Consider the following 14,526-nt stretch of genomic DNA (forward strand, 5'->3'; position numbering starts at 1 on the left):
CAGGTGTGAGCCACCATGCCTCGCCTCTTTTCTTTTTTTTTAAGTTCTTGCCCAAAGGTCAAAAAGTTCAGTAATTTTTTTTCCTGTGATTAAGAGCAATGGAGAGAAGTTCAATACTTTTATTAGTATATGTCTCAGCATTGATCATTCTGGGCTAATTTTATCAGCTATGAGATATGCCTTTTCAATGTACCTTCTTATATTGCAGGAATGTTTTCTTGAATTACAGTTCTTAGCATCTGCTTTGTTTTATTGCTTTGACTTTCTTTTTCAAGTTCTCCTGTTACATGCATTCTGAATCATGTTTCATGTTTGCCTGCCCTCTATATCTACCATTTCTCTCAAACCTTTTCTTATTTCTCCTTTAATTTTCATTTGATTCCTTTTTTTTTTTTTTTTTTTTTTGAGACAGAGTCTTGCTCTGTCACCCAGGCTGGAGTGCAGTGGTGTGATCTCGGCTCAATGCAACCTCTGCCTCCTGGGTTCAGGTGATTCTCCTGCCTCAGCCTCCCGAGCAGCTGAGACTACAGGCATGCACCACCACGCCCAGCTAATTTTTTTGTATTTTTAGTAGAGACGGAGTTTCACTGTGTTGGCCAGGCTGGTCTGGAACTCCTGGCCTCAAGTGATCCGCCAGCCTTGGCCTCCCAAAGTGCTGGGATTACAGACGTGAGCCACCGGCGTGGGCCTTGTTTCCTTTCTTTTTTCTCCTTTCCATCCTCTATTTACTGTAATTTTTAGTGCTATTTATTATTCTCTCTTTTGTTCCTTCCAGTTTAGTCTTTATTTCTGAAACATTTTTCTGTTATTTCTAATTCTTTTCTAAGCTCTGTTTTCTCTTTATGTCTTCTTATTGCCTACCCATTCTATTTCTGAGTGAGCTTTAAACTGTTAAATTTGTATCACTCTTTCATAGCTTCTATTATTTTCTTAATTTCTTTTGTTCATTTAAAAATCTTACATTACAGGCCGGGTGCAGAGGCTTACGCCTGTAATCCCAGCACTTCGGGAGGCCAAGGCGGGGTGACTGCTGGAGGCCAGGAGTTTGAGACCAGCCTGGACAACATATTGTCCTGTCTGTACCAAAAATTTTTTAAAATCAGCCAGTCGTGGTGGTGCATGCCTGTGGTCCCAACTACTTAGGAAGCTGAGGTGAGAGGATCCCTTGAGCCCTGGAGGCCAAGGCTGCCATGAGCTGTGATTGTGCCACTGCACTTCCAGCCTGAGTGACAGAGCAAGACTCTGCCTTTAAACAAAATTACATTACAGTCTTCTGCTTTGTGGCCATATTCTTCTGGTTGCTTCATTTCTGTAGGCATGTTATTATTGCTATCCTATTTTTTCTTACAATTTCTATGAGGTTTAACCAAAATATTTTTCTGTTGCTCATGTTTAAGTGAGATTGGTTTCCCTGTGCTTTCAGGAGAATGTTCCCGTACTGGAGTGGCGTTGGGCCAGGATAACTTCCCCAGCTTCATGGTGCTACAGATCCCTTTTCTGTTGTTACCTTGAAGTCTTAAGAAATATGTTTGATCAGGTGGCTCATGCCTGTAATCCCAGCACTTTGGGAGGCTGAGGTGGGCAGATCACCTGAGATCAGGAGTTCGAAACCAGTCTGGCCAACATGGTGAAACCCCGTCTCTATTAAAAATACAAAAATTAGCCAGGTGTGGTGGCACACACCTGTAATCCCAGCTACTCAGGAGGCTGAGGCAGGAGATTTGTTTGAACCCAGGAGACAGAGGTTGCAGTGAGCCAACATCACGCCACTACACTCCAGCCTGGGGCATGGAGCGAGACTCCGTCTCAAAAAAAAAAAAAAAAGAAATATATTTGCTCAGCGTAGCCACCTTGGCAATAGTCTTGGATATGTATCCCTCTTGTTCTGTTTCCAACAGGTACCTACACCTCCTTTTTTTTTTTTTTTTTTTTTTTGAGACAGTCTTGCGCTGTCGCCCAGGCTGTGGTGCAGTGGCACAATCTTGGCTTACTGCAAGCTCCACCTCCCGGGTTAACGCCATTCTCTTGCCTCAGCCTCCAGGGTAGCTGGGACGACAGGCGCCCGCCACCACGCCCAGCTAATTTTTTGTATTTTTAGTAGAGACGGGGTTTCACCGTGTTAGCCAGGATGGTCTCGATCTCCTGACCTCGTGATCCACCCGCCTCGGCCTCCCAAAGTGCTGGGATTACAGGCATGAGCCACCGCGCCCGGCCTCTACACCTTCTTTCTCCTTCATCTCCAGACTATCTGTCCGGGTCTATTTGTACACTATTCACTTAGATTTTCCTCAGTGAGTGAGGGCTTCAGGTTTCTCTCTAGAGATTTTCTGGAGCACCGAGGACCCAGGCTGCCCCGCTTCCCTCAAGCCTTCCAGCACTCCCATTGTACTCACCTGAAAACCAGAACCTGCATAGCTGCCTCCAGCTGTGACTGTTCTCAGTTTCACCAGCCAAGGTCTCCAATCTGAGTGGGCTCCTTCCTTTCGCAGGTGAATACTTGCTGGTGTTTTCTAAATTCAGCCTTCGGCTTCTCTGTGCCTCCTCCTTCACTGTTGATGATACTCCACAGGTCCTTCTGCAGCTTGGTTGCACCAGCTCATATTCTAAGGTTTGTGGGGGATATTTTGTCCCCTGGTTTATTGAAACAATCACTTGCATCTTTTTTTTTCCTTTTCTTTCCTTGTTACTTTGCTTGGTGGGTTCTATGCCACATGGATCTGTCTCCCCAGCAGCTGAAAGCTAAAATTGTTTCACTGACTAGAGTTACCTTACTTAAGAATAGCCTCCTTCTCAGGATTGCTCACATCTGATGACTGGTTGACATGGGAAGATAAGGGCCTGGGCTCCTCATCACATCTGGGGACAATTGTGAAGGGTCAGTCTACCCATGGGATCAAGTAAGGCCTTATTGGGACTTCAGTCACTGTCACACTTCCCCCTTTGCCCAGTCATGCTTTTCTCTTTCCCTCCACAGGTGTTGATACTGAGAGTACGCCCTAATAAACTTTCACCACGCTGATCTGTTTCAGAGTCTGCTTCCAAGGAACTCAACTGGTGGCACTCTTCTTTTTTCCTTTTTTTATTTAGAATCTCATCCCCACAACAATTTTCTTTAAAGATCTCAGTTGGCTTTATTTGTCATTCTAGAATCAGGTAACACTTCATTTTATAAAATAGAAAAAGTCTCTCCGGTACTCAGTTTCCATGAGGGGACATGGAGGGATATAAGCAACTCCCCTATTCTCTCCAGCGTACTCTGGCCTTTCGCTCTAGAATAAGGTGTGTGTGCTCTTGCCTAGAGACGGGAGGAAAACATGTAACTTCAGGTCACCCCCTGCTAGAAAGACCCCCAGACAACTTTGTTTAGAACCCATCTCAGTGCTTTTGTTTGTTTGTTTGTTTTTAAAGAATAAGCTGGTCAGGTGCGGTGGCTCATGCCTGTAATCCCAGCACTTTGGGAGGCTGAGGTGGGAGGATCACTTGAGACCAGGAGTTTGAGACCGGCCTGGGTAACATAGTGAGACTCTGTTTCTATGAAAAAAAAAAAAAATTAAATTAGCTGAGTGTGGTGGTGTACACCTGTAGTCCTGGCTGCTCAGGAGGCTGAGGCAGGAGGATTGCTTGAGCCCAAACATTCAAAATTGCAATGAGCTATGATGGCCCCACTCTATGCACCCTGGACAACAGAGCTAGACCCTTTCTCAAAAAGAAAAAGAAAAGAAAAAAGAACAAGCCTAGCTCATAGTGTACAGAACAAGGTAAGAGTGACAGGATTTCAAAACGTGCCTACAATTTCTGAGCGTGAGAAAGTAATCACAACCTCATCCCCATTTTTTTGGCAGCTGTTTGTGCCCACAGAATTTTTTTTTTTTTTAAGACGGAGTTTCGTTCTTGTTGCCCAGGCTGGAGTGCAAGGCCGTGATCTCGGCTCACCGCAACCTCCACCTCCCGGGTTCAAGCAATTCTCGTGCCTCAGCCTCCTAAGCAGCTGGGATTACAGGCGCGTGCCACCACACCCGGCTAATTTTGTATTTTTAGTAGAGACGAGGTTTCTCCATGTTGGTCAGGCTGGTCTCAAACTCCCAACCTCAGGTGATCCACCCGCCTCAGCCTCCCAAAGTGCTGGGATTATAGGTGTGAGCCACCACGCCCAGCCTATGCGCACAGGTTCTTAGCTGCATTTCAGGCACCCATCTCGCGTCAGACCCCACTGCCACAGAAGCAAAAGCAGCTCTGGGTCTTAGGACTTCTTGGACAATTAAACATTCTTTCCTTCAATCAGAGGACAAGAGCAGTGTGAGTGCTTGGCAATGGCTTTGATAGGGAAAAGGAGGAAACACCCTTTTGATCAGCCTCAGTCTCTGGGTGAAAGGTGAAATTTCAATTTCCATCCTATGTGGAATATAAAATCAAAGTAGTCTTGTTTATAGAGAGGACACGTGGCAAACCCTGGAAAAGTTTCTATTATATGAAGCTTTTATTCCCCTTGTCAAATCCTCTGTTCCATTTTTACACAAAACAGTTTTGAGGGATGGTGATGGTCCCTGCATTGTTTTTGTCTTTGATAGCAATGCCTTTAATATTTAGCCAGTTAATACGTTTTTTTCTTAGTGTCTGAAAACAAAACCACACACAAAACTCTTTATCATGATTAGGAAATGTTCTTTTTCTCCTGTTTTACTTAGTGTTTTTACTAGAAATGGTTCTGGAATTTTCACTACTGCTGTAAAATATAATTGTGTGGTTTTCATTTTTTTTTTTTTTTTTTTTTTTGAGACAGGGCCTGGCTCTGTCACCCAGGCTGGAGTATAATGGCACAATCTCAGCTCACTGCAGCCTCTGCCTCCTGGGCTCAAGTCATCCTCCCATCTCCGCCTCCCAATTAGCTGGGACTACAGGTGTATACCACCACGCCTGACTAATTTTTGTATTTTTTGTAGAGATGGATTTTCATCATGTTGCCCAGGCTGGTCTTGAACTCCTGGGCTCAGGAACTCCTCCCACCTCGGTTTCCCAAAGTGCTGGGATTAGAGGCGTGACCCACTGCACCCGGCCTGTGGTTTTCAATTTTATTTTATGGATGTGATTAATTAGATTGTTGGGTTTCCTAATGTTGAACTATTCCCAAGGGCTTCAAATAAATTCTATTTTCAGGTTTATTCTTAGGTGCTTAATAGTTTTTGTTGCTATGGTGAATGGGATCTTACTTTCGATTACATTTTCTAATTGGTTATTGCTGTTATATAGGAAAGCTATTGATTTTGTACATTGATCTTGTATGTGGTCACCTTGCTGAATCCTCTTATTAGTTCTAATGGTTTGTCAATTGATTTTTTTAGGTTTTTCTATATAAGCGATAGTGTCATCTGCAAATAATCACAATTTGCCTCTTCTTTTCTAATGTTTATGCTTCTTAGTGCCTTCTTTCTCTTCTTGAATTAGAGAGAACATCTGGTACCATTCTGAACAGTAGTGGTAAAGGACATTCTCATCTTACTTCTAACTCCAGTTGGAAAGCTTCTATTGTTTCACCATTACCTATGGCATTTGCTGTAGGTTTTTTATCATTGTTTTATTAAAAACAAAACATGTATCAATTAAGCATTTTTCCCTAGTTTGCTAGGATATTTTTTCTTCTTTTATATTATTAATGTGCATTTAATTTATTCAGATAATTGGGTTTTTTATGTTTACATCATTAATAAGTATATATATTCTAATGCTGAACCATCTTAGCAAAGCTGGGATAAATCCTCCTTAGACTTCATGAATTGTTCTTTTTTTTTTTTAGACAGAGTCTCGCTTTGTCACCCAGGTTGGAGTGCAGTGGTGCGATCTTGGCTCACTGCAACCTCTGCCTCCTGGGTTTGAGTGATTCTTCCGCCTTAGCCTCCTGAGTAGCTGCGATTACAGGCACACACCACCATGCCTGGCCAATTTTTGTATTTTTAGTAGAGATGAGTTTTCACCATGTTGGCCAGGCTGGTCTCAAATTCCTGACCTCAAGTGATCCACCTGCCTCGGCCCTCCAAAGTGCTGGGATTACAGAAATGAGCCATCGCACCTGGCTAAATTGTTCTTTTAATATACTGTTATATTTAATTTGTTGTTGTTGATTTTTGGTACAGGGTCTTGCTCTGTCACCCAGGCTGAGTGCAGTGGCACAATCACAGTGCACTGCAGCCTCCAATTCGTAGGCTGAAGTGATCCTCCTGCTTCAGCCTCCCAAGCAGCTGGGACTACAGATGTGTGCCATCGTACCAGGCTAAGTTTAAAAAAAAAGTTTTGTGGAGGTGGGCTCTTGCTATGTTGCCCAGGCTGGTCTCAAATGCCTGGCCTCAAGCAATCCTCCCTCCTCCCAAAGTGCTGGCCTTACAGGTATGAGCCACTGTGCCCAGCCATGCGAGATTTAATTTATTAACATTTTATTCAGGATTTTTGTTTTATTGTTCATAAATGAGATCTTTTTTTTTTCTGTTGTCTGGCTTTGGTTTCAGTATATACTAGTCAGTAAATTGTGTTGGGTGGCATTCCATCTTTTCTTACATTCTTTTCTTCTTTTTTTTTTTTCGACAGGGTCTTACTTTGTTGCCCTTGAGTGCAGTGTCCATGTCCTGGGCTCAGGCAATCCTCCTGCCTCAGGCTTCTGAGTAGCTAGGACTACAGGTGCATATCACCATGCCTGGCTAATTTTTACTTTTTTTTTTTTTGTAGAGACAGGGTCTTGCCTTGTTGCCCAGGTTGGTCTTGAACCCCTGGCCTCAAGTGATTCTCCTGCCTCGGCCTCCCAAAGTGCTGGCAATCCATGTGTGAGCCACTGTGCCCAGCCCTTACTTTCTTAAATAATTTACATAAGATGAGAATTACATATTCTTCAAAGGCTCTCTTGATAGGCTCTGGTATTTATATTACGCTATTTTCATAAGTTGAGAACAATTTTAACTAATATGCTCTAGAGCTGGGGTCCCCAACCCTCAGGCCATGGACTGGTACCAGCACTTTGGTAGGCCGAGGCGGGCAGATCACTTGAGGTCAGGAGTTCGAGACCAGCCTGGCCAACACGGTGAAACTCCGTCTCTACTAAAAATACAAAAATTAGCTGGGTGTGGTGGCAGGTGTCTATAATCCCAGCTACTCGGGAGGCTGAGGCAGAAGAATTTCTTGAACCTGAGGTTGCAGTGAACCGAGATCGCGCCACTGGTCTCCAGCCTGGGCAATGAGCGAGACTCCATCTCAAATAAAATAAAATAAATAAATAAAATAAAGTTGACGTGAATTAACAATAATCTGTTACTTGAAGGTCAAATAGAACTCACCTACTTATAATTTTCAGCCTGTTACCTTTCAAAATTGTAGCTCATTCTTGTTTTTCTATGGTTATTGCTCTATCTGGTTCTCCAACTCTTTTTGGAACAATTTTGGCTACTTGTACTTCCTAGAAAATATAACTAAGAACTATGACTTGTAGCTGACACAGGAATTGGTATCAGAAAGGCATGGATTTGGTATTTAGGTTTGGGCAGTAAAAATCTAGCTGAACTTAAAGATAGCCCTTGGCTTGCAGAGAATAGATTATCACCTGCAATTGATTATTAACTGAATGACAGATTCCTTGAAGGCAAAACTTTGGGGGAACCAAGCAATTTTTCTCAGAATTTGATGGGGGGTGGGGGCAGAGGGAATTTGTGAACTGTGCAGTGAAGAGAGGTTTCTTTTAACTATTCTGGTCAGACTGAAAAAAAAAAAAAAGAGCTCAATACCCTAAAATTTGGCTCAAGATAAGTCTCAGATCATTGACTTTCTATGTGTATGATAAAAATAATTTATCTCTTGCAGTCATGGAGCTGATTATAGCTGGAATTGAAATTCAAAATGTGATACCAATAATTGCTGTAGCACAATATGAGTGAAATTCACACACTTCCAGGTCTCTCATGTGAATGCTGGGGGCACTGATCAGAAAAGAAGGCATTTAGATAACTCAGGCCATCCCAGATTCTACCCTCTTGAGCCTCTCTCTTGCCAGCAGAAATGGCTCCTCTTCCCCTGATGTGGCTAATGGATGACTTCTTAAAATCACTGTCAGCAGGAGGAAATAGAGGTGATAGTTCTGACACCTTCCGGTAAATCAAGAACGCACTAGGGTCAAAGCAACTTAGATTCACTGAGATAAAGTACAGTGGACCCTTGAACACACGGGTTTGAACTGTGCGTGTCCACTTATGCACGGGTTCTGCAGGGCCAACTGCAGGACTTGAGTATGCATGGATTTGGGTATACATGGGGGTCCTGGAGACAATCCCCCAGGTACACTGAAGAACAAACTGCAAATCCCATGAAAACACATCTCAGTGATGTTTCTGGAGGTCTAGTGTTATAGGATATGTCACAATGTTCCCCCATGAGAACAAGTTGCTTCACCTTACAAAACCCAAACATAAAAAGAGAAATACTACTATATACATAGTATTATGTAATACTAATACTATGAACCTGAGGTTGAAGTGAACCGAGATCGCGCCACTGGTCTCCAGCCTGGGCAATGAGCGAGACTCCATCTAAAATAAAATAAAATAAAATAAAATAAAATAAAATAAAATAAAATAAAATAAAATAAATAAATAAAATAAAGTTGACTCGAATTAACAATAATCTGTTACTTGAAGGTCAAATAGAACTCACCTATTTATAATTTTCAGCCTGTTACCTTTCAAAATTGTAGCTCATTCTTGTTTTTCTATGGTTATTGCTCTATCTGGTTCTCCAACTCTTTTTGGAACAATTTTGGCTACTTGTACTTCCTAGAAAATATAACTAAGAACTAAATACTAAAGCAGGCGGATCGCTTGAGCCCAGGAGTTCGAGACCAGCCTGGGCAACATGGTGAATCCAATATCTAAAAAAAGTTAGCCATGGGTGGTGGTGCGTGCCTGTAGTCCCAGCTACTCAAGAGGCTGAGGTGGGAGGATCACCTGAGCCCAGGGAGTTGGAGGATGCAATGAGCCAAGATCATGCCACTGCACTCCAGCCTGGGCAACAGATACCCTGTCTCAGAAAAAAAAAAAAAGAAAGAAGGAAGGAAGGAAGAAAGGGAGGGAGGGAGGGAAGGAAGGGAGGAAAGGAGAGACAATTCCACAATCATGTTGGAGACTTTAACCCCCCTCAGCAACTGATAGAACAATAGACAAAAAAAAAAAAACAACCAATAGAGACATAGATGATATGAATAATATTATCAATCATTTTGACCTCATTAACATTTACAGAACCCTACACCAAACAATTGCAAAATACCAAGATACACATTCTGGTTTTTTTTTTTTTGAGACGAAGTCTCGCTCTGTTGCCCAGGCTGGAGTGCAGTGGTGCAATCTTGGCTCACTGCAGCCTCTGCCTCCTGGGTTCAAGCGATTCTCCTGCCTCAGCCTCCTGCGTAGCTGAGATTAGAGGCATGCGCCACCACACCTGACTAATTTTTGTATTTTTAGTAGAGACGGGTTTTCACCATGTTGGCCAGGCTGGTCTTGAACTCCTGACCTCAAGGCCCACCTTGACCTCCCAAAGTGCTGGGATTACAGGCGTGAGCCACTGTGCCTGGCTGATACACCTTCAAGTACACTTGGTATATTCACTAATGAACCATATGCTGGATCATAAAACAAGTTTCCATAAATTTAAAAGGATTGAATCAGGCTGGGTATAGTGGCTCATACCTGTAATCCTGGCACTTTGGGAGGCTGAGGCAGGAGGATTGCTTGAGGGCAGAAGTTTGAGACCAGCCTGAGTAACATAACGAGATCTTATCTCTACGAAAAATGTTTTTTAAAAATTAGCTTGGCATGATGGTGTGCACCTGTAGTCGTAGCTACTCAGGAGGCTGAGGTGGGAGGATCACTTGAGCCTAGGAGTTCAAGGTTGCAGTGAGCTATGATCTTGCCTCTGCACTCCAGTCTGGACTGTCAGAGTGAGACCCTGCTCTAAATAAAAATAAAATAAACAAAGAAGAAGGCACACGGAAAATTAGAATGATAATGAAAATGTAACAATTTGCAAGGTACAGCTACAGAAGTGATTAGAGTGAAATTTATAGCTTTAAATATTAATAATGGAAAGGAAGGAAGGTCTCAAACATATCTCTTACATTTAATAATGGATTGTTGACTTACACCCCCAACTTCATGGTTCAGTGAATTGGATAATTCTCAGTTCATGCTGGGCAGTTCCAGTTAGTGTCTCATGGTCAGGCATTCAGTTTCTACAAGAGCCCAACTGTAAGCCAGAGACTGCCTGTTTGTTGTTGTTGAGACAGGGTCTTGCTCTGTTAACCAGACTGGAGTACAGTGGAGTGATCATAGCTCACTGCAACCTCAAACTCCTGGGCTCAAGTAATTCTCCTGCTTCAGCCTCTTGAGCAGCTGGGACTACAGGCACATGCCACCACACCTGGCTAATTTTTCTTTTTCTAAAGTAAAGACAGGTCTCACTATATTGGCCAGGCTGGTCTTGAACTCCTGGACTCAAGCAATCCTCCTGCCTTTGCATCCCAAAGTGCTAGGATTATAGGCATGAGCCACTGCACCAGGTAAGAGAAACTGCTTTTTAAGCAGTGGTAGTTGTTTATAGGTGAGATTATAGCCTTCAGAACTCTGGGTGGCTGTGCTGTGATTCTGCTATTAGGATTGCCAGAGACTATACATGAGATCTTTGTCACCAGATACTTCCAATATCATTGGGTCTGTTGGATAATCAGTCCCAAATGGCAGCATATCTTGCACGGTGACCTGGATGTCACACAGAACCCCTTCTTGAGCCAGGCCCCTCTCAAAACTGATAGGTTACCTTGTAAATGAGTCAGAGCATGATCAAATATTGTTCATATGCCTCCAAATCCAAAGAGGACCACCAACTTTTGTAATTCTGTCTTCAAGGTGGGTGGAGCAAGGTGCAGCACTTTATCTCTTACTTTAATTTTTATTTACTTAGTTTAGTTTGGAAAGCAAAATAATTGACTTGCAAAAAAAAGTCTGTAAGAAAGTCCAGACTTTAGAAGGACTGGTTAACCAAATAATAAATACAACATAAAAAAGATAAGCAAACTTACCAATTTGTTCATGGCGGAAAAACAGCAATTCTCTCTCAAAATTATGAGAGTTCTGTTGGAGATCAGCATTGCAAAAATCGGGAATAAAGTTGTCTTTGCTACAGCATCAGTAGTAAGGTACTGGAAAGAATTAAGCTTTCATTTATTTTGGGTTTAGAACTATTCAGTGTGGCCCTGTTTTTGTATTGTTTTGTTTATCTCCAGGAACAAAGTGCTTGTTTTTTTTTTTTTCACTTCTTCCCTGATTGAGGGATGTGATTTGCAAGTCTACTCAAAATACAGGCAGAGAAAGATGTCAGTCTTGCTCCAGTCCCTCTTTGGGGTCTATTACCATTCATAAGCACAGATTTGCCCATCTAAGTTTGTTTAGTGATTTCTGATTTGATCAGATGTTTTGTTGCTGTCATTGTTTTGAGACGGTGTCTTGCTCTGTCACCCAGGCTGGAGTTCAATGGCACCATAACGGCTCACTGCAGCCTCAACCTTCTGGGCTGAGGTGATCCTCCCACCTCAGCATCCCAGGTAGCTGGGACAACAGGTGTGCGCCACCACACTCAGCTAATTTTTGTATTTTTTGTAGAAATGAGATTTCGCCATGTTGCCTAGACTGGTCTTGAACTCCTGGGCTCAAGCGATTCACCCACCTTGGCCTCCCAAAGTATTGGGATTACAGGCATGAGCCACCACACCTAGCCTGATTTTTGTTTTATTTGTCAAGTTTTATTCACATAGGTGTAATGGAAGGTATTAATTTATTCACAGAGACCTCCTTGTTGTTTGGTCAACAAAACACTAAATTTTAAGATTTAACTTCTGTTAACCCTAGGGTTGTAACTTACCTTTATATAGTCAAATTTATCAATTATTTCCTATATGCTTAATACTTGCTTCCTTTTTATTGAGGTATAACTTTCATACAATAAAAGGCACATTCTTAAAGGTGCCAGCTCAATGATGTTTACATAGGAATGTATGTAACCATATACCATCACCCAGATCAAGATGTAGAACATTCCCAACACTCCAAGAGGCTCATGCCTTCTCCCCCTTGGTGCCCCTCCCACTGTTTTGATCTCTATCATGATAGATCAGTTTTGTCTAGTTTTGAACTTCATATGAATGGAATTATACATTATGTATTCATTTGTGCCTTTCTTCTTTCATACAACATTTTGTCAGTGAGATGCATTCATATCCTTGCATGTAGCAGTATTTTTTTCTTTCTCATTGCTTGTGGTATTCCATTGTATGACTATACTATAATTTATTTGTACTTTTGAGAGACTTTTGAATTGTTTCCAGTTTGGGACTATGATGAATAACAGTGTTATGATCATTTCTGTATATGTCTTTCTGTGAACATAAGCACTTATTTCTCTTAGGAATATACCTAGGAGTAGAACTGCTGTGACATCAGGGATATGGATGTTTGACTTTAGTAGATAGTGTCAATGTTTCTATGTGGTTGTAATAATTTTATTTCCACCAGTAATGTATGAGAGTTCTGTTGCTTCACATCCTCACCAACACTTGGTATTGTCAGTCTTTTCACTTTTAGCTATTCTTGTGAGGAAAATATAAACTACTAATATTGAAATCAAGAAGAGATAGACTAATAAGTGTTTAAAATAATCCTTAAAGACTCCCTTTGCCCCCAAACAAAAAAAGGCCTGAGGGTTTTTAGGTCATTTCTACTAAACTAAAATGTATGTGTGTGTGTGTTGCGCATTGTTCAAAGGGTAGAAAAAGAATGAAGGTTCCTGACTCATTTTAGAAGACAAGCATAATTCTGATTCCAAAATCACATCAGGATAGTTAAAAGAAAAGAAAATTATAGGCCCATTTCAGTTATAAATTGATTTTTTAAAAATCCTAAATAAACTATTAGCTAGCTAAGCCCAAAAGTATACCTTCTTTACATATGTATTATGATCAGATGGATTTCATTCCATAAATGTAACATCACAAAATCTGTTAATACACTTCAGTAGTAGACTAAAGGAGATAATTCTTATAAATATATCAATTGATATCAATTGATGAAAAGCATTTTTTTTTTTTTGCTAAAGATGATCACCTTAAGGAATAAATAACTCTTAGAAAACTAAGAAGAATGTTCCTTAATTTGGGAAAGAGTATATACAAACAACCTGGAGCAAATGTTATGTTTAATAGAAAAAATTTAAATGCGCCCCCCTTAAGATCTGGAAAAAGACAAGGATGCCCACGACCACACCTGCTGTTTAACCAATTACTGGAGGTACTGGAAAATGCTAAAAGAAAAAGAAATAAGGGGTATAAATTGAAAGGAGGGGATAAACTTGTCATTATTTGCAGATAACATGGTCATCTTTCTCTAAATATCTGGAATCCATTGCCACTGCTACAACCTTAGTTCAGTTTCCCAACACCTCTAACCTAGATAGTCACAACTGCCCTCTAGTCTCCTAAACTCTGGCCTGGTCCACCTTCCACAGCGCACAGTCTGCCTGTCTTTCCTTCTTCCTTTCCTTCTTCCCTTCATTCCTTCCTTTTATTATAGAAGAGGTACACATTCATTATAGAAAGTATAGAAAATATAAATTGCCAGATAAAAACAAGTGATGGAATCATTTCAGTTTAGTCCTTTCCAGAATTTTTTCTATGTATATACACATTTATAAAAAAAAGAGAGACCACTAACTTTCCCTGACCAGATTATGGAAAGCAGTTCTCCATCCCATCGCTCTATTTCATTTCCTTCCTAGCTCTTGTTACCATCAAAACTTACATTATCAATTTTATTGTCTATTTCCTTAGTGTTTCTCCTTCTCCACTAAATATAAGCTCCACCAGTAGCTATTTGTATCTCGTTCACCCACTGCATGCCCAGAGTCTAGAATAGTGCCTGGCACATACATTCCTTTATGTACTGTGATCCCTGTCTTCACAGAAATGAGTCTATTAGAGATATATATTAAACAAGTAATTACACAATTAATTAACTACAACTAGGGTCAAGTGTTTCAGGCAGCCAATTGCTCTCTCCCTTTCTGGCTCCAAGGACCATTTCCTTACCCTGTGGACAATTTCTGCTGTAAGACTGTGACTTCCTCCGGCAACTGTTTGGAGCTCAGTGGATCCATCCAGGAATCAGACCCAGGAACAGGTTTGTACCTCCAGGCCTAGTTCTCCAAAGTTTTGGGGACTAGTCAGGCTTGTGGCTACAGCTGTTGTATCCCCTTGTCTTCTCCAGGCCAGAACAGGCTACACCACTTATAGCTAACTTGCGCAAACTGTCTGCTCCTCTAGTCCCTGCTGGTATCTTTGGCAGGTCTCGACTTGGGGTCTGGCCTTCTTAATGCCTTAACAAGCCCCACCCTATCCCACAGGCTATGTGTCCTTCAAATTGACAGGCTGGTTTGCAGACTGCTGAAGCTGGGAGC

This window comes from Homo sapiens, chromosome 1 (genome assembly GCF_000001405.40).
Source record: "Homo sapiens chromosome 1, GRCh38.p14 Primary Assembly".
In the NCBI taxonomy this organism is placed as follows: domain Eukaryota; kingdom Metazoa; phylum Chordata; class Mammalia; order Primates; family Hominidae; genus Homo; species Homo sapiens.